This window comes from Homo sapiens, chromosome 22 (assembly GCF_000001405.40).
Source record: "Homo sapiens chromosome 22, GRCh38.p14 Primary Assembly".
Lineage (NCBI taxonomy): Eukaryota > Metazoa > Chordata > Mammalia > Primates > Hominidae > Homo > Homo sapiens.
This window is the reverse complement of record NC_000022.11, coordinates 29229036-29246564: the sequence shown is the minus strand read 5'-3', so window position 1 is coordinate 29246564 and position 17529 is coordinate 29229036. Positions and strand designations below refer to the sequence as shown.

Genomic DNA, 17529 nt, shown 5'->3' with positions numbered 1-17529 from the left:
CTTGACTCCTCACTCCCTTTTGCAGCCAGACCAGCACACAAGTGTCTTTTTGCTCCATCGACGGCTGTCTGTCCTCACTGGCTCCCACCCACTGCCCGGCTCAGTCTCTCACCAGGATGACCACGACAGCCCCCGACCTACTGTCTTTCTGCTTCTCCCATCCATTCGCCATGGCAATCAGAGGGATTCTTTGCAAATAAAAAAAACCTGACCGCATCACTCTGCTGCTTCTAGAGCCTTCAATGCCTCCCCACTGCCCTAGAACAAAGTCCAAATTCCTGAACGTGGCCTCCTACACCCTGAAGGCCTCTTTGGCCTCTGTTCCACTCTCTACCTGTCACAGTGCCACTCCAAGTATTTGCAGCTCCTCAAATATCCGAGGCTCCCTCTTGCCACAGGGCCTTTGCACCTGTTGTACCCTCGCCTCTGCCTGGACACTCCGTGCCTGGTTAATGCACCTTTCAGGCTTCACCTGGCTCCTCCGGGAGGATGCTAAAGTGTAAAGTGTTTATAAAGTTGACAGTCCTGTAGCTGCTGATTATAGGTCTTTTTTCCCTCACCTCACTGTGACCACCCTGAGGGTGGGGACTGTGTCTGAATTGCATCTGTGTAAACAGTGCCCAGCTCCAGGTCTGGTGCCTATGGAGGAGATGCTTGGGGAATGGTAGCTGGTTCTCTGGCCCTAGGAACTTAAAAGTCAGGGCTCCAGTTCCCGCTCTGCCAAGGATTCTCTCTGCCGAGTCGGGCCTCAGTTTCCCTGTCTGAATAAGGGGTGAGAGCTTTGATCCAGGTGGGCAGGCCCAGCACAGTCACTCCAGTTCCTGCAGTGCACTATCATGACCACCAGGTGTCACTGCTGGGCCACAGCCAGAACGCATCTGCAAGCTGCACTAAGGGAGTTGGTTGGTGAAGTGTACATAGGAGCCCTCGGGGACCTTGCCAGCACTGAACCTCATTCCCACCTGTCCCCAACAGAGCTGTTCCCCCAGCCCCCAAAGCTTCATGCAGCCCCCAGCCCAGTGGGTCCCCTCCCAGGCAAGCAGCAAGCAGGGGCAGAAGTGCAGGTAGAAGAGGGGCAGGAAGGTGGGTGGGCAGGGGCCCTGCTACCTCTTGCGGGGAGCCCACAGGTGGTTCTGGGTTCAAGGACTGGTCTAGGGTGGCCAGGGCATCCTGCCGGGGATTCTCATGAAGGGACAGGACTGCCCAATCTCTCCCACCCCTCCTGGACTGGGTGGTAAATGTGTTCCCAGACCAAGGGCCTCTGGGAGAGGCCAGTAATTAGCCTAGGGGAGGCAGAGAGCCAGGCTTGCATGGGTCTATCTGATCCCAGCTCAGCTCATGTCCATACTGGCAGTATTAAGAGACTCTGGAGCTACGGAGGATGGGTATGGGGTAGGAGGAGATTCAGGACAGCAGGGGCCAGGAGAGGCTAACTGGAGAGGTAGCAGGGCACCAGAAGTCATGGGCAGACACAGGGGAAGACTCGTGCAGGGTAGGGGGCTCCCACGGCTGTATCCATCACTGACCCCACAATCAAGAACTAAGAGGGCAAGGCAGGCACTGGGTGCCACCCACATCCTCACTAACTTGTGACTGCCAGGAAGTAGGGTGTCCCAGCCAGACTGCATGTGGAGGGGGAGTCACAATCCCCCCCACCGCCAAAAAGAGCTTCCTAGTTGTCTCTCTCTCCTGAAGGAGTGTCTGCCTCCACTCTGTCCATTTTCCAGATGTCTCCCCTGTCAGTGATGGTTTCCAGATCCCTGTGTCGTGGGGCTTTTGGGTATGGTATGTTTTAGGGTCCTCGTCTTTCCCCCACGTCTCTTGGGTGAGTAGATTTCTAGGTCCTAACCCGAAAATCCCTCCCCTGCAATGATTTTCAATGATTGTGAAGGTTTCTATTTTCTTTTCTTTTCTTTTTTTTTTTTTGAGACAGAGTCTCGTTCCGTCGCCCAGGCTGGAGTGCAGTGGCGCGATCTCTGCTCACTGCAACCTCTGCCTCCTGGGTTCAAGCGATTCCCCTGCCTCAGCCTCCTGAATAGCTAGGACTACAGGTGCGTACCACCATGTCCAGCTAATTTTTGTATTTTTAGCCCAAACCTTTAAGGCTAATTTTGTATTTTTGTATTTTTTTGTATTTTAGAGATGGGGGTTTTGCCATGTTGGCCAGGCTGGTCTCAAACTCCTGACCTCAAGTTATCTACCCGCCTCGGCCTCCAAGAGTGCTGGGATTACAGGTAGGAGCCACGGCATCCCGGACGATTGTGAAGGTTTCTAGGACCCCACATTAATCATGAGATTTTGCGGTGTGTGGTTTCTAGTTCCCCCTTCTTGTCCCCTTCTCATTTACTCTGTCTCCTGTATATGTGAGAGTTTCTAGGCTTCCCTTCTCATCCATCATGGGTCTCCTATGTATGTGATGGTGTCTAGGACCTTGTGTAAACTATAGGTCCTTTAAGTATAGAGGAGTCTAGGTCACCTGGCCTCATTAACCACATCAAACGTGTACATAGCAGTTTCGAGGCGTCTCTTCACAGGCTTCATGAATTTCCGATGTGTATGGTGGTATCTAGTTCCCTGTCCTTTTTACCACGTGGCTCCTATGTACCTCATCATTTCTAGGCCCCTTTCCTAGGTCCTCTATCCCATTCTCCTGTGTAGATATTGTCTTCATTCTTCCCTTTGTTCTGCAGACAAGGGAGCAAGCTAAGCCTTGGCTGGGAGGGGGCTATGGAGGCAGGGGATGCAGTCTGGCCTGGGTCAGCCCAAACCACCCAGGAGGAAAAGGCAGAGCCACCCTGGCCTGGAAAGGCCACAGAGGGAAGGTGGAGACAGGGACAGAGACTGAGACAGAAGGCATGGGGTCTGCTGATAGGGCTGGCCCTGCCCGGTTGGGAGCAACAAGATGGGGGAAGGAGTTGGGGCTGATAATTGCCAAGGCTCCTGCCTGGGAGACCAGGCTGTAGTGGGGATGTGGATGGGATGCTCCCACTCCCAGGGCCTCCTGGGGAGGGAATACTCTCTTGAGCATGTAGGGCTGAGAAGGCAGGGAGAGGCCAGTGCCAGGCCAGAGCTTACCCAGTGGCTCTTCTCACCAGGGTCTCCCTTAGGGCCAGGTTCCCCCTGCAAGGAGAGACAGAGATAGCAGCAGTGAGGAAGGCAAGGAGACAGAAAGGGACGGGAAAAAAAGAGGGAGGAAAAAGAGCGGGGAAAGGGAGAGAAACTTAGAGAAACAGAAAGTAGCTTGTATTGGATACAAAGCAAAAACCAACTGATTGAAGGCAACGGAAAGTAATAAAAAGCAGACAGACACTGGAGAATATTCAACCCTTAAAAGAAGGGAATGGCATTGGGTAAAATCCATGTATTTACAGCTTTTCCTCAGAGGGTGCACCTCAGCCCCATCAGCCTGGCAAAACAAGAGCTCAAGCAGAAAGTTTCAGTTTTATTGGCCTCAGGAATCAGAGGTTGAGGTTGCCAGAGAAGCAAGAAATTGATGAGAAATACTGGGAAGCAGGGAGCTACAAGTGGGGGAACTAAATCTGCATAAATGTTCCTTTCTGACGCTTGGATGGTCCCTGGATTGACCAATCACAGGGCAATACTCCAAGGAGCCCAGAGGGGGAGAACCAACAGATTGGTAGAACTGACTAAAGATGTCAAAAATTGCCCACCATATAGGAGACAGAGTTTAGAGTTCCAGTCCAACCAAGTTAGAGGTGCTTGTGAACACCTAAAGCTTTCTAATGAAACTCTAGAACAGCCATGACTTAGGAAGAAAGACCCTATCTCAGGATTAAGGGATTTTTCCTAGGACTAAGAGCAAAACCAGAGATTCTCTCTGATAAAACCTACAACTAAGTCTCTAAAAGAGCAAGATGACCCATCAATAATTTAACTGTTCTAGAATAAAACTCAATACTCTTCAGGAGATAACAGAATTTAGAGTCTTTTCAACATATTATCTACTTTGTCCAGTGTGCAACAAAAAATTACTAGATGTGAAGACACAGGAAAATGTGACCTATATTCAAGAGAAAAATCTGTCAATAGAAATAGATCCACAGCCGACCTATATGTTAGAATCAGCAAAGGAGTTTAAAATATCTATGATTAATATGTTAAAGAATCTACTGAAATTGATATCATGGGTGATAAGATGGAGAATTTTAGGAGAGATATATAAATTATAAAAAAGAATCAAATGGAAATCCTGGAAGTGAAAACGATAATACCAGAAATAGAAAATTATCAGATGAAATTAACATAAGATTGGACACAACAGAAGAAGTAATCAATCAACTTGAACATAGATCAATGGAATAATTTAAAGTACAGACAGAGCCTGTAATCCTAGCACTTTGGGAGGCCAAGGTGGGAGGATAGCTCCCTAGCCAAGGTGGGAGGATAGCTTGAGGCCAGGAGTTTGGGGCCAACCTGAGCAACCCCATTTCTACTAAAAATGAAAAAACAAAAACCAAACAAAAAAACAAGCCAGATATGGTGGTGTGCACCTGTAGTCCCAGCTACTCAGGAGGCTGAGGTGGGAGGATTGCTTGAGCCTAGGAGCTCAAGACTGCAGTGAGCTGTGATCACACCATTGCACTCCAGCCTGGGTGACAGAGCAAGACCCTATCTCAAAAAAGTAAAATAAAGAAATATAAAGCACAGAGAGACAAAGATTGTTTAAAAAACTAACAGAACTTCAGTGACTCATGGGAGAAAATCAATGGAGTTCCAGAAGGACATACTGGAGAGCAGAAACAGAAAAAAATGTTTGGGGAAATGTTGACCTTTTTTTTTTTCAAATTTGATTTAAAAACAAAACAAAACAGACTTCTGGGTTCCAACCTGGCATGTAAAGAGGTTAGAAGTTGTTGGCTGGGTGCGGTAGCTCACGCCTGTAATCCCAGTGCTTTGGGAGGCTGAGGCGGGCGGATCATCTGAGGTCACAAGTTCAAGACCAGCCTAACCAACATGGTGAAACCCCGTCTCTACTAAAAATACAAAAATTAGCTGGGCGTGGTGGCAGGTGCCTGTAATCCCAGCTACTCTGGAGGCTGAGGCAGGAGAATCGCTTGAACCCGGGAGGTAGAGGTTGCAGTGAGCCGAGATCACACCATTGCACTCCAGCCTAGGGGACAAGGGCGAGAGTCATCTCGAAAATAAAAAGACCTTAGAAGTTATCATTCCATCTTAACAACAAGTGGAAAGTTGAAAAAAACTGAAAAATCAACAACTCTTCTTAGATCTGTTGGAGAAGTGAGACCATAGGCAAACGATTGCCCCCAAAGCTGGAGAGGCAAATCCAGACTATCACAACTTACTAAAGCAGAAACCCACAAGCACAAGCCTCCAGAGGAACCAGGGCCAGGGTAGGAAAACCTAAACTGTAATTGATGAACTTCTGGAGGCTCAGTGTAGACCAGTCTTAGGGTTAAAAACTCCAGGGGGACCCAGTCAGACCCACATCCCTCCTTTCATGAGTTTTACCTCAAGGAGCTCTACAAGGCCCTCACAGTGAATATCAGAGAAAAATGCCCTTGTCCTTCCAGCAAGGAGAGGAGAGAAGGCATCATTTTGAAATAGACCAAGCATTCTGTTCTGAACAAAGCCTGACTCAGGAGAAACTACTTTACCAGAGCCTAACCTGTTGGAGTGATCGGACCCAACACCAGGTCATGGGGGCGACAAAGTCTGACAGAGTCAAAGGAATGAGAAAAGACAGTTTGAGAGAGAAAGTGCGTCCAGGGGGCCAACACAAGTATGGAGGCTGTGAAGGCCCCGAGTTCTGGGAGCCCACACTATTTACTGGTGATCAAACAAAGAAACAGGTGGCAAGGATGTGGGGGTTGAGAGAATGCGATGCGTCAAGCGCATGATTTACAGCTGTGACAGTTTAGCATTTTCTTTGAAGCATATGGAACATGTTCTGCTACTTGAGGTAATGGGAGTGCTAGAAGCAAGGAGCCAGCAAGTCTAGACACATTCCAGAGGCCACGAGGGGTTTTATGCCCTGAGCCCTGGATTCCATCCAAGTCACGAGGGGTTTTATGCCCTGGGCTTAGATTACGGTGTGGCAGGGTAGCCTTCCACCCTTTAGCACAGAGTTTGGTGTTCCAAAGGCCACGAGGGGTTCTTGACCCTGGACCCCAGACATGTTCCAAGACTCTTTTACATTATGTCAGACGTGCAAGCCCTGCCTCAGCTTCCCTCCCAACACTCAGCTTTTCTCCCAACACTAAGCAACCTGGAGGAAGCGAAATACCCACTTCCAGCTCCCTCTAGTTTCCACATGAAAGAAGGGAAATATCCAACTCTAACTCCCTCTAGATAACCTGTCCCACCTAAGGGGCAAAACAACCCCCAAACAAAAACAAAACAAAACAACAACTGAGACACACTGGTGAAGTTCACAGTCCAAGGGCACAAGCTCATCTAAAGACTGAGACCTAGGCCAGGTGCAGTGGCTCACACCTACAATCCTAGCACTTTGGGAGGCCAAGATGGGTGGACTGCCTGAGCTCAGGAGTTCAAGACCAGCCTGGCCAACACGGTGAAAGCTCATCTCTACTAAAATACAAAAAAATTAGCTGGGTGTGGTGGCGGGCGCCTGTAGTCCCAGCTGCTTGGGAGGTTGATTAGCTGGGTGTGGTGGCAGGCGCCTGTAGTCCCAGCTGCTTGGGAGGTTGATGCACGAGAATCACTTGAACACAGGAGGTGGAGGTTGCAGTGAGCCAAGATCGAGCCACTGCACTCCAGTGCCTGGGAGACAGAGTGAGACTCTGTCTCAAAAAAAAAAAAAAGACTGAGATCTAATCATAGGACTCCAGAACACTTCCCTTCCCCAATACCTTCTCACTACATTACTAAAGGCCTATCTACTGCAGTTCTTTTGCACAGTACATTATGTCTACCTTCCAGTGAAAAATTACAAGGCATACTAAAAGGCAAAAACACAGTTTGAAGAGATTCAACAAACATCAGAACCTGCATCAGTTATGGCAGAAATGTTCAGATTATCAGGCCAGGAATTTTAAAAATCTACAATTAACATGCTAAGGGAATTAATGGAAAAAGTAGACAACATGCAAGAAGAGATGGATTATAAGCAGAGAGATGGAAATTCTAAGAAAGGCCTGGGCGTGGTGGCTCATGCCTGTAATCCCAACACTTTGGGAGGCTGAGGTGGGTAGACTGCTTAAACTCAGGAGTTTGAGACCAGCCTGGGTAACATGGTAAAACCCTGCCTCTACATTAAAAAAAAATTTTTTTTAAAAGAAAAAAAAGATATTCTAAGAAATAATTAAAAATAAGTGGTAGATATAAAAAGCACTGTAACAGAAATAAAGAATGCCATTGATGGGCTTATTCGTGGACTGGACATGGCTGAGGAAAGAATCTCTAAGCCTGATGATATGACAATGGAAACTTTCAAAACTGAAATGCAAAGAGAAAAAAGGCTGAAAGAATAGAACAGAATATCCAAGAATTGTGGGACAATTACAAAAGATGTAAATATGCATAATAGAATACCAGAAGGAAAAAAGAGAAAGAAACACAAGCAATATTTGAAGTAATAATGACAGAATTTTCCCCCCAAAAATGTCAGACACCAAACCACAGATCTAGGAAGATAAGGGAATACCATATAGGATAAATGCCAAGAAATGACAAGTAGGCATATCATATCCAAATTTCAGAAAATCAGGCTGGGTGCAGTGGCTCACACCTGTAATCCCAGCACTTTGGGAGGCCAAGGCAAGAGGATCACTAGAGGTCAGAAAGACCAGCCTGGGCAACATAGTGAGATCTTGCTTCTAAAATTAAAAAAAAAAAAAAAAAAAATGGCCGGGCACGGTGGCTCACGCCTGTAATCCCACCACTTTGGGAGGCCGAGGCGGGCGGATCACCTGAGGTCAGAAGTTTGAGACCAGCCTGGCCAACATGGTGAAACCCTGTCTCTACTAAAAATACAAAAAATTAGCCGGGCGTGATGGCAGGTGCCTGTAATCCCAGCTATTTGGGAGGCTGAGGCAGGAGAATCGCTTGAACCCAGGAAGCGGAGGTTGCAGTGAGCCAAGATCACACCATTGCACTCCAGCCTTGGGGACAAGAGTGAGATTTCATCTCAAAACAGAAAAAAAAATTAGCCAGGTGTGGCACATGACAGTAGTCCCAGCTACTCGAGAGGTGGAGGCGGGAGGATCCCTTGAGCCCAGAAGCCTCAAGGCTTCTGAGGTGACAGAGTATGACCTTATCTCTAATAATAATAATAATAATAATAATAATAATAATAATAATAATAATAATTTTTAGAAAAACTTCAGAGAATCAAAGATAAAAAAATACTGAAAAGAAAACAGAGGGAAAAAATATCTTTCCTGCAGAGGAGCAACAATAATAATTACAACCAACTCTGCAGAAACCATGCAAGCAAGAGAGTGGAGAGTAATATACCAAGTATTGAGAGGAAAAAAACACATCAACCTAGAATTCTTTACCCTGAAAAATTATCCTTCATGCATGAAAGGGAAATGAAGACTTTCAGACAAACAAACAGTGAGGGAATTTTTGTCAGTAGATCTGCCTTGTAGGAAACATTAAAAGAAGTTCTTCAGCGGAGCACTTATTTTATTTTATGGAATGAAGTGTTGCCCGATTCTAGAATCACAAATAAAGCCAACTGGGAAAAAATAAAGGTAGTTCTTCAGAGAGGACAAAAATTATGTGTCAGAAACTCAGATTTTTTTTGTTTGTTTTTTTTGAAACGGAGTCTCGCTCTGTTGCCCAGGCTGCAGTGCAGTGGCGCGATCTCCACTCACTGCAAGCTCCATCCCCCAGGTTCATGCCATTCTCCTGCCTCAGCCTCCCAAGTAGCTGGGACTACAGGCACCTGCCAGCACGCCCAGCTACATTTTTTTTGTATTTTTAGTAGAGACGGGGTTTCACCGTGTTCACCAGGATGGTCTCCATCTCCTGACCTCATGATCTGCCCACCTCGGCCTCCCAAAGTGCTGGGATTATAGGCGTGAGCCACCGTGCCTGGCCAGAAACTCAGATTTTACATAAAGAAAGGAGGAGCATGGCCGGGCATGGTGGCTCACACCTGTAACCCCAGCACTCTGGGAGGCTGAGGTGGGTGGATCACCTGAGGTCAGGAGTTTGAGACCAGTCTGGCCAACATGGTGAAACCCTGTCTCTACTAAAAATATAAAAATTAGCCAGGCAGGGTGGCAGGTGCCTGTAGTCCCAGCTATTCAGGAGGCTGAGGCAGAGAATTGCTTGAACCCAAGAGGCAGAGGTTGCAGTAGCAGAGATCACACCACTGCACTACAGCCTGGGTGACAGAGCAAGACTCTCTCTCAAAAGAAAATAAGTAAGTAAATAAATAAATAAAGCCAAAAAAAGGCAGAAAAAGTCTGGCAGACAAAAATAGGAACAAAGAACAAGGAAAACAAATAGAAAATAGTAGCTGGGCGAGGTGGCTCACACCCGTAATTCCAGCACTTTGGGAGGCCAAGGCCGGTAGATCACAAAGTTAGAAGTTCAAGACCAGTCTGGCCAAGATGGTGAAACCCCATCTCTACTAAAAATACAAAAATTAGCCAGGTATGGTGGTGGGCGCCTGTAGTCCCAGCTACTTGGGAGGCTGAGGCAGGAGAATTGCTTGATCCCGGGAGGCGGAGCTTGTAGTGAGCCGAGATCCAGCCACTAGACTCCAGCCTGGGCGACAGAGCAAGACTCTGCCTCAAAAAATAAAAAAAAAAAGAAAAAAAAGAAAGAAAATAGTAATATGGTAGCTGTTAACCCAACTATATAAATAACACTTCATTTATTTAGTTATTTTTTATTTTACTGATTGACTTATTTTTTTGAGATGGAGTCTCACTCTGTCGCCCAGGCTGGAGTGCAGTGGCACAATCTTGGCCCACTGCAACCTCCGCCTCCCAGGTTCAAGCAATTCTCCTGCCTCAGCCTCCTGAGTAGCTGGGATTACAGGAGTGCGCCACCATACCTGGCTAATTTTTGTGTTTTTAGTAGAGACGGGGTTTCACCATGTTGGCCAGGCTGGTCTCAAACTCCTGACCTCAGGTGATCCCCCTGCCTCCACCTCCCAAAGTGCCAGGATTACAGGTGTGAGCCACCGTGCACAGACTATTTAGTTATGTTTTAGAGGCAAGGTCTGGTTCTGTCACTCAGGCTGGAATGCAGTAAAGCAATTATAACTGTCACCTTAAACTCCTGGGCTCAAGCAATCCTCCCAGCTCAGCCTCTCAGGTAGCTGAATCTACAGGTGCACACTACCACGTCCAGCCAATTTTTAAATTTGTTTTATAGAAAAAGGGTCTCATTTTGTTGCCCACTCTAGTCTCAAACTCCTGATTTCAAGTGATCCTCCTGCCTTGGCCTCCTGAAGTGCTGGAATTACAGGTGTGGGCCACTATGCTGGGCCTCAATAATCACTTTAAATGTCAATGGCCTAAATGCAGCAAATAAAAGATGAGGATTGTTAGAATGGACCAAAAAATAAGACCTAACCGTAGGTTTTCTATAAGAAACTGACTTTAAATATAACCACAAAACAGATTAAATGTAAAGGAATAGAAGTTAACTGGGCATGGTGGTACATGCCTGTGGTCCCAGCTACTCAGGAGGCTGAGGTGTGAGGATTGCCTGAGCCAGGGAGGTTGGGGCTACAGTGAGCTATGATTGCACCACTGCACTCCAACCTGGGTGACAGAGAAAGACCCTGTATCAAAAAAAAAAAAAAAAAAAAAAAAAAAGCTTAAATTCTAGAAAGCTTTAATTCTAGAAAGAAAATTAATTTTAGAAAGAGAAGATTTTAAGTCAGGCACAATGGTGCACACCTGTAGTCCCAGATACTTGGGAGGCTGAGGCAAGAAGATCACTTAAGACACTTCATTCACTATGTGCCCAGGAGTTTGAGTTCAGCCTAGGCACATAGGGAAACCCTGTCTCTAAAAAAGAAAAAAGAAATCATAAAAAGTACTCAATCCAAAAGAAGACAAGAAAAGAAAAGGGAAAAAAGAAACACAAAACAGAAGGAATAAATAGAACATAAACAGCAAGATGGCTAAACAGAACCATATTAATCAATTATACATATCATTAAATATAAATTAACTAAACAGTCAAACTGTTTTTAAACAGCAAGACCCAAGTCATATGATGCACTTTTTTTTTTTTTTTTTTTTGAGATGAAGTCTCACTCTTATTGCCCAGGCTGGAGCACAATGGTGTGATCTCAGCTCACTGCAACCTCTGCCTCCTGGGTTCAAGCAATTCTTCTGCCTCAGCCTCCCGAGTAGCTGGGATTACAGGTGCCTACCACCATGCCTGGCTAATTTTTGTATATTTAGTAGAGACGGGGTTTCACCATGTTGACCAGGCTGGTCTTGAACTTCTGACCTCAGGTGATCCACCCGTCTCAGCCCCCCAAAGTGCTAGGATTACAGGCGTAAGCCACCGTGCCCGGTCCACACTTTCTTACATTTAATAAAATTTATATACATATTTTTATATAAAGACAGAGTTTTGTCATGTTGCCCAAGCTGGTCTTGAACTCCTGAGCTCAAACGATCCACCTTCCTCGGCCTCCCACAGTGCTGGGATTACAGGTGTGAGCCACCACACCCAGCCATGATGCACTTTAAATATAAAGTTACAGGTTGAAAAAAAAAAGGATAAAAAAAGATATAACATGCAAATAGCAAGCATAAGAAAGCTGGTGTGCTATTAAAAGCACACAAAGTCGATTCAAGGCAAGTATTATCAGAGATAAAGATATTAATTTCATAAAGATAAAATGACCAAGGAGACATTAAAATACTAAATGTGAATGCACCTAATAACAAAGACTCAAAATACGTAAAGCAAAATTCACCAAATTAAAGAGAGAAATGAACAGATCTACAATCAGAATTGGAGAGATAGAGTGTAAATGAAATACAGAGTCAAAGAGACAGACGTACAGAGGGAAAGAGAGAGATACAGAGAAACAGAGAGCCAGAGTGAGAGAGACAGAGGCAGCCTAATCCAAAGAGGACAATGAGTCTCAGAGACAGGGAGCATCTGAAAATAAATGACAAGACAGGGAGGGTTAGAAGCTCTGGTTGCAGGGGATGGAGTCACAGGAGGAATCTGGGACTAAGGGATCCTGCAGGGATGAATGCGGGACAGACAGCAACACTTACCCGCTGCCCAGCAGAGCCTTGGGGGCCAGGCTCCCCACGCAGTCCCTGTGTAAGAGGGAGGAGACGAATGGCGTCAGCTGTTGAGGACTCTGACCTGGGGCCCTCAGGACTCCCCAGAATTCCCCCACCTGGGGCCACCTGGGTACTCACTCTCTCGCCCTTCTCTCCTGGGTGGCCAGAGATTCCTTTGGGTCCAGTGGGGCCTGGGGGTCCCTGAGCAACAAGACAGGGCCTCAGCCTTGTGTTGGGGCAGGATGGAGTGGGCAGGGGCTTGGGAACAGAGGTGTTGGGGAGGGCGCTCAAGCTTGGTCTGGGCCTCTGGGTTCTTCACCATACACCCAGCACACCGCAGTCAGTTCATACAGCTCAGTGTTAAAAGATCTGATCCTGGAGTCAGACAGTCCCACCACAGCTCATTGCCATGTGCTGGCACAAGAATCTCTACTTTTCTTGGTCTTAGGTGATAACCACACATGGTTCTCATTACTTGGATTGAATAAGATTTATGGAAGGTAGTTTGCATATTAAGTGCTCAATAAATACTTGTTGAATGAATGAATGGAAGGATGAATGGATGGATGGATAGATGGATACAAGGGTGGATGATGGACAGATGTATGGATGTATGCATAGATGGAAAGATGGACAGACACATGGGTGAGAGTACAAGGAGAACTACTCACTATGTGACCAGGACTCCCAGGGACACCTGTGGGGCCAGGAGGCCCAGGGGGACCTGGAAAAAGACAGGATGTCCTAAGGGCCGGAACAAAGTACAATCTCAGGAAGTGCCCCATCAGCTCCCTCCTGATAGCCACAAACCCTATTCCCTCTGCCATCTACCAACTTCACCCTTTACCCCTGGCCTGGACTCAACTTACCCATGGGCCCTGGAGGGCCTGGAGGCCCAGTGGGTCCCTGGGGCCAGTGGTTGTTGGTCTCAGTGAAGGTGTTGGACAGCAATGGGTCTCCTGGGTGAGCAAAGATGATGAGTGAGTAGAGCTGGGTAGAGTGGGGTGGTTAGTCTTCACCTGCCACCTCTGCCAAGACAGCTTGGACTGCCCTATGGGGCAGCCTGCAGCATGGCTGGTACCACCTGGGCACCTGCTCCAGGGTGAGGAGTGTGGAGAGTGTTGGTCCCGCAAGACCAGGAGGCAGGGAGATGTGGGTTCTAACCCCACTGCAATCCAGCTGGTGACATCCAGCAACACTTTCTACTTTTCAGAGCCTGTACTGTCACCTGTCAAATGGGAATGACAATAAAAGATACCATTTATCCACCACCTACTGTGTGCCAGGCTTCTGTACATGGATGTTACGCAGCTCTGGGAGGCTGGCACTGTCATTGTCCCCATCGTATGGATAGTGAGATGGAATGAATGCTGGGATGGCAGAATGAATGAATGGTGTGCTGGGTTGTGCACCAAAAACACAGTGGAGAAGAGGCTGAAACCTGGCGCTCCACACTCTGACCCCTGGCAGCCCATGGGCAGGTCAGGCTGGGCTGCCAAAGGGAAGAAGCCAAGGACGCACGTCAGGGCCTGGAGGAGGGGCCGGGCCTGTGGCCTTGGGAGTTCAGGACTCACTTCCTGCCGCCGGGTCTTTTGCGTCCCAGTGTTCCGAGAACTGGATTCCAGCCAGTTCCAAGGCTTGGGAGGGCCTGATGCCCGGTGGCTCTAAGCACAGGTTCTGGAGGCAGCCTGGGTTTGAAGCCGTTCCCCTACGCCCAGGCTGTGGGACCCTGGCAAGCCACCTTCCCTCTCTGGTCCTCAGTGTTCCTCACCTGTAACCACAGGAGGACAACGGCGCCTGCTGGAGGACTGGGTCACATGTGGCCTATCGTGAGCAGGGCTGGCACACAGAAGGCACGTGGCAGATGGTAGCGGGCACTGTGCTGATGGCTACTCCACCCCCACCTCCACCTGCTGGGATCCCAGGGGGACTCACCATGCTGGGAGATCCGGGCATGGGGTGGCCCAACAGGGGCTGGGGGCCCAGGGGGGCCAGGAGGCCCTGGTGGCCCAGGAGGTCCCCTCTCTCCAGGGGTGCCCACAGCTCCAGCCCGGCCAGGGCTCCCTGGGGGGCCCTGTGGACCTGCAATGGAATCACACGGATTTGTGGGTATACAGGAGGCAAGGAGGCCCAGGGTGGCCTTGAGCGACAGGACAAGGCAGCCTGGAGCAGTGGGCATGAGAGAGGGCCCCGGAGTCCACAGGCCTAGGCTGCCTGGTAGTCTAACAGGGGGATGAGCACAGCACCTAGTTCTCCACCTCGTCCAGGCTGAGTCTTCCTTCCTTGGGGCTCCCAAACCCCCAAAACCCCTCATAGAAACCCTGGTCACATGGGGCAAGCATTGCTGCTTCTCCTCTGCCCAGCCCTGCTCCCAGCAGCATGGAAGCTCCAGAAGGGCAGGGACATGTCTGACCCCACCCAGTGCCCAGCTCAGAGCCTGATAAGTGTAGGTGCCCAGGGAATGTGGGTCAGTGAACATAAGAGAGGACTTCATGGAGCCCAGGCGTGGGCAGGGCACTCCGTGGTGGGGTGCTGAGTGAAGAGGCAAGTAGATGAAAGGGCCCAGGTCATCCTGGCCATGTCAGGAGCAGGGAAGGGCCCACCTGGTGGAGGGGATGGCCAGAGGAGCTGTGGGGCAGCATTGCGGGCACTCACCTGGTGGGCCTCTCATCCCCATTGGGCCCCGACTGCCGGCATCTCCCTTGGGGCCGGTGGGCCCGGGAAGCCCCCAAGCACCGACTTGGTCTGGGGGGTAAAGCATATCAGACTGGCAGCTCCACATCTGCTCTTGACCCCCACCCTGGCCCCAGCCCCCCAACCAGCATCTACCATTTCGGGGAAGCAGCGGGACCCTCACACTCTCTATGGCTCCTGGCAGCCCTGGGGTGGGGGGGGTAGGCAGAGGTCAGTGTCCCTGCTGGGCCTGGAGGAGGGAGGCTCATCCAGAATCCCCACTCCCAGCTCCCCCCGACCTCCAGGCAGGGTCTGCTGGGGCTGCTTGGTCTCCAGGGACTGCAGCATTCAGGAGTCCCAGGAGACGGTCCTCTTAGGCGGGTCTAAGAAACGGGAAATGGGAAGACTGAGGCCCACTAGAGGGTTAAGTTGGGAGTCAGCGACAGGGTGGGGACCAGAATCCCACTTCCCCGATTCCCAACCCACTGCTCATTCCCACAGGGGAGTCTGAGTCTGACACTCACCCTGGAGGCCTCCATCTCCGGGGCTGCCCTGGGCAGGAGGGGGACCCCAGAGCGGGGCAGGGTCCTCAGGGGTAGCTGGTGTTGGAGGTACTGGCTGCTCTATGACAGTCAGCATGGTCATCTGAAGAGGAAGACAGGGACGGGGTGGGTACCAGGGTCTCACTAGGACCCCTCCCTATTTTTTTTGAGATGGAGTTTTGCTCTGTTGCCCAGGCTAGAATGCAGTAGTACTATGACGGCTCATGCAGCCTCAACCACCCGGGCTTAAGCGATCCTTCTGCCTCAGCCTTCCAAGTAGCTGGGACCACAGGGATGCACCACCACACATGGCAAATTTAAAAAAAAATTATTTGTAGAGACGAGGTCTCGCTATGTTGCCCAGGCTGGTCTTGAACTCCTGGGCTCAAGCAATCATCTTGCCTCAGCCTCCCAAAGTGTTGGGATTACAGGCATGAGCCAGGGTCTCACCACGGACAGGCCAGCCAAGGGGCCTGGTGTGGGAGGCAGGAGGCACATGGCCAGCAGGGCCCAGCTTGGAGTGGAGCCCCAGGCTCGCAGGGGCACCGAACTTCATCAGAAGTGACAGTGTTTTTCAAAGCACACAATTCATAACACGCATTATGGAAAAGTCACTGACACCATCATTGCCATCAAAGTTGAGCTTTGTGACTGTCGCGGTGCTTGCTGGGCCATGTGCTTTTTCTCTATGGTTATCCAAATAAGAAGCTTGTCTTGATTTCTTAAAGCACCACAGGGTATGGCTGGAAGAGTTTCACTTAGTTTGTTTTTTTGTTTTTTTTTTTTCCAAGATGGAGAGCCTTGCTCTGTTGCCCAGGCTGGAGTGTAGTGGCACGATCTCGGCTCACTGCAACCTCCGCCTCCCGGGTTCAAGTGATTCTCCTGCCTCAGCCTCCAGAGTAACTGGGATTACAGTCATGCGCCACCACACCTAGCTAATTTTTGTATTTTTAGTAGAGATGGGGTTTGACCACATTGGCCAGGCTGGTCTCAAACTCCTGACCTGAAGTGATCTGCTTATCTCAGCCTCCCAAAGTGTTGGGATTACAGGCGTGAGCCACCACTCCCGGCCTTTCACTAAATTTGGAAGGAAGTTTGGAAGAGTCTGACATGAAATAGAAACCTGGAGGTGTACACAAAGTCCACTTTTGGGCCCATGGTGAGGAAGACTCTGGGAAGCTGGAAGTGTCCCCTCAGCTGCTGAGGACCAACGAAAGGCCAGATGACCACAGATCAGGGGCTCAGGGATCGTGGGGGCCTGTCCAGAGAAAAGCTGAAACTCTCTGGCAGATCCTGAACCAGGAATTCCCATCAAGATGTGGGACTGAGTTGCCTCTTACATGGGCTTCTCCTGGGAGGGAGCTCAGGGAACTGCTCCTGGAACCCCGTGCCTTGTAACTCAGGTGCCAGCACACGCTATTTGGAAGCTTGGTTTTCCCATTTGATAAATCAGGGGCATCTTCTTTTTTTTTTTTTTTTGAGGTGGAGTTTTGCTCTTGTTGCCCAGGCTGGAGTGCAATGGCGTGATCTTGGCTCACCGCAACCTCCGCCTCCCAGGTTCAAGCAATTCTCCTGCCTCGGCCTCCCTAGTAGCTGAGATTACAGGCATGCGCCACCAAGCCTGGCTAATTTTGTACTTTTAGTAGAGATGGGGTTTCTCCATGTTGGTCAGGCTGGTCTCGAACTCCTGACCTCATGTGATCCGCCCGCCTCAGCTTCCCAAAGTGCTGGGATTACAGGCATGAGCCACCGCGCCCAGCGGCATCTTCTTTTTTTTAATTTTAGAGACAGGGTCTAGCTCTGCCGTCCAGGCTAGAGTGCAGTGGTGCTATCACGACTCACTGCAGCCTTGTCCGTCTGAGCTCAAGTGATCCTCCTGCCTCAGCCTCTTAAGCAGCTGGGACTGTGTGCCAGCTGTGTGCCACTAAGCCTAGCTAATTTTTTGTAGAGATGGAGTCTTGCTATGTTGCCCAGGCTGGTCTCGGGCTCCAGGCCTCAAGCAATCCTCCTGCTTCGGCCTTCCAAAGTGCTGGGATTACAGGTGTGAGCCACCATGCCCAGCCTAGAGAAATCTTTTCATATTAGGG

General features: G+C 49.3%; 1 protein-coding gene across 19 annotated transcripts in view, besides 2 other annotated features; it reads right to left on the bottom strand.

Moving 5' to 3' along the window:
- EMID1 (EMI domain containing 1) overlaps positions 1–17529 on the bottom strand; it is a 53702-nt gene that overhangs the window by 13033 nt on the left and 23140 nt on the right. For 9 of the 19 annotated variants that reach the window (XR_937808.4, XM_011529869.4, XM_011529868.4 and 6 more), the window contains 9 exons: positions 15425–15545; positions 15057–15107; positions 14883–14972; positions 14163–14309; positions 13097–13186; positions 12899–12951; positions 12366–12428; positions 12216–12260; positions 3076–3120 (listed from right to left, as the gene is read on the bottom strand). Coding sequence is in view for 17 of the 19 variants with exons in the window: in XM_011529869.4 (XP_011528171.1) it covers positions 3076–3120; positions 12216–12260; positions 12366–12428; positions 12899–12951; positions 13097–13186; positions 14163–14309; positions 14883–14972; positions 15057–15107; positions 15425–15545 (705 nt within the window). In the remaining 2 variants the exon portion in view is untranslated. Of the gene's footprint in view, positions 1–3075; positions 3121–12215; positions 12261–12365; positions 12429–12898; positions 12952–13096; positions 13187–13801; positions 13999–14162; positions 14310–14882; positions 14973–15056; positions 15108–15199; positions 15284–15424; positions 15546–17529 lie in introns of those variants that run through there. The other 10 variants (NM_133455.4, NM_001410828.1, XM_047441134.1 and 7 more) reach the window with 3 other exon arrangements.
- Positions 11919–12419: an enhancer, noted in NCBI's record as "H3K4me1 hESC enhancer chr22:29630135-29630635 (GRCh37/hg19 assembly coordinates)". NCBI's record gives its function as "activates a minimal SCP1, AML or CMV promoter by ChIP-STARR-seq in primed H9 embryonic stem cells {active_cell/tissue: H9 hESC(primed)}" and the evidence as "EXISTENCE:reporter gene assay evidence [ECO:0000049][PMID:30033119]".
- Positions 12420–12920: an enhancer, noted in NCBI's record as "H3K4me1 hESC enhancer chr22:29629634-29630134 (GRCh37/hg19 assembly coordinates)". NCBI's record gives its function as "activates a minimal SCP1, AML or CMV promoter by ChIP-STARR-seq in primed H9 embryonic stem cells {active_cell/tissue: H9 hESC(primed)}" and the evidence as "EXISTENCE:reporter gene assay evidence [ECO:0000049][PMID:30033119]".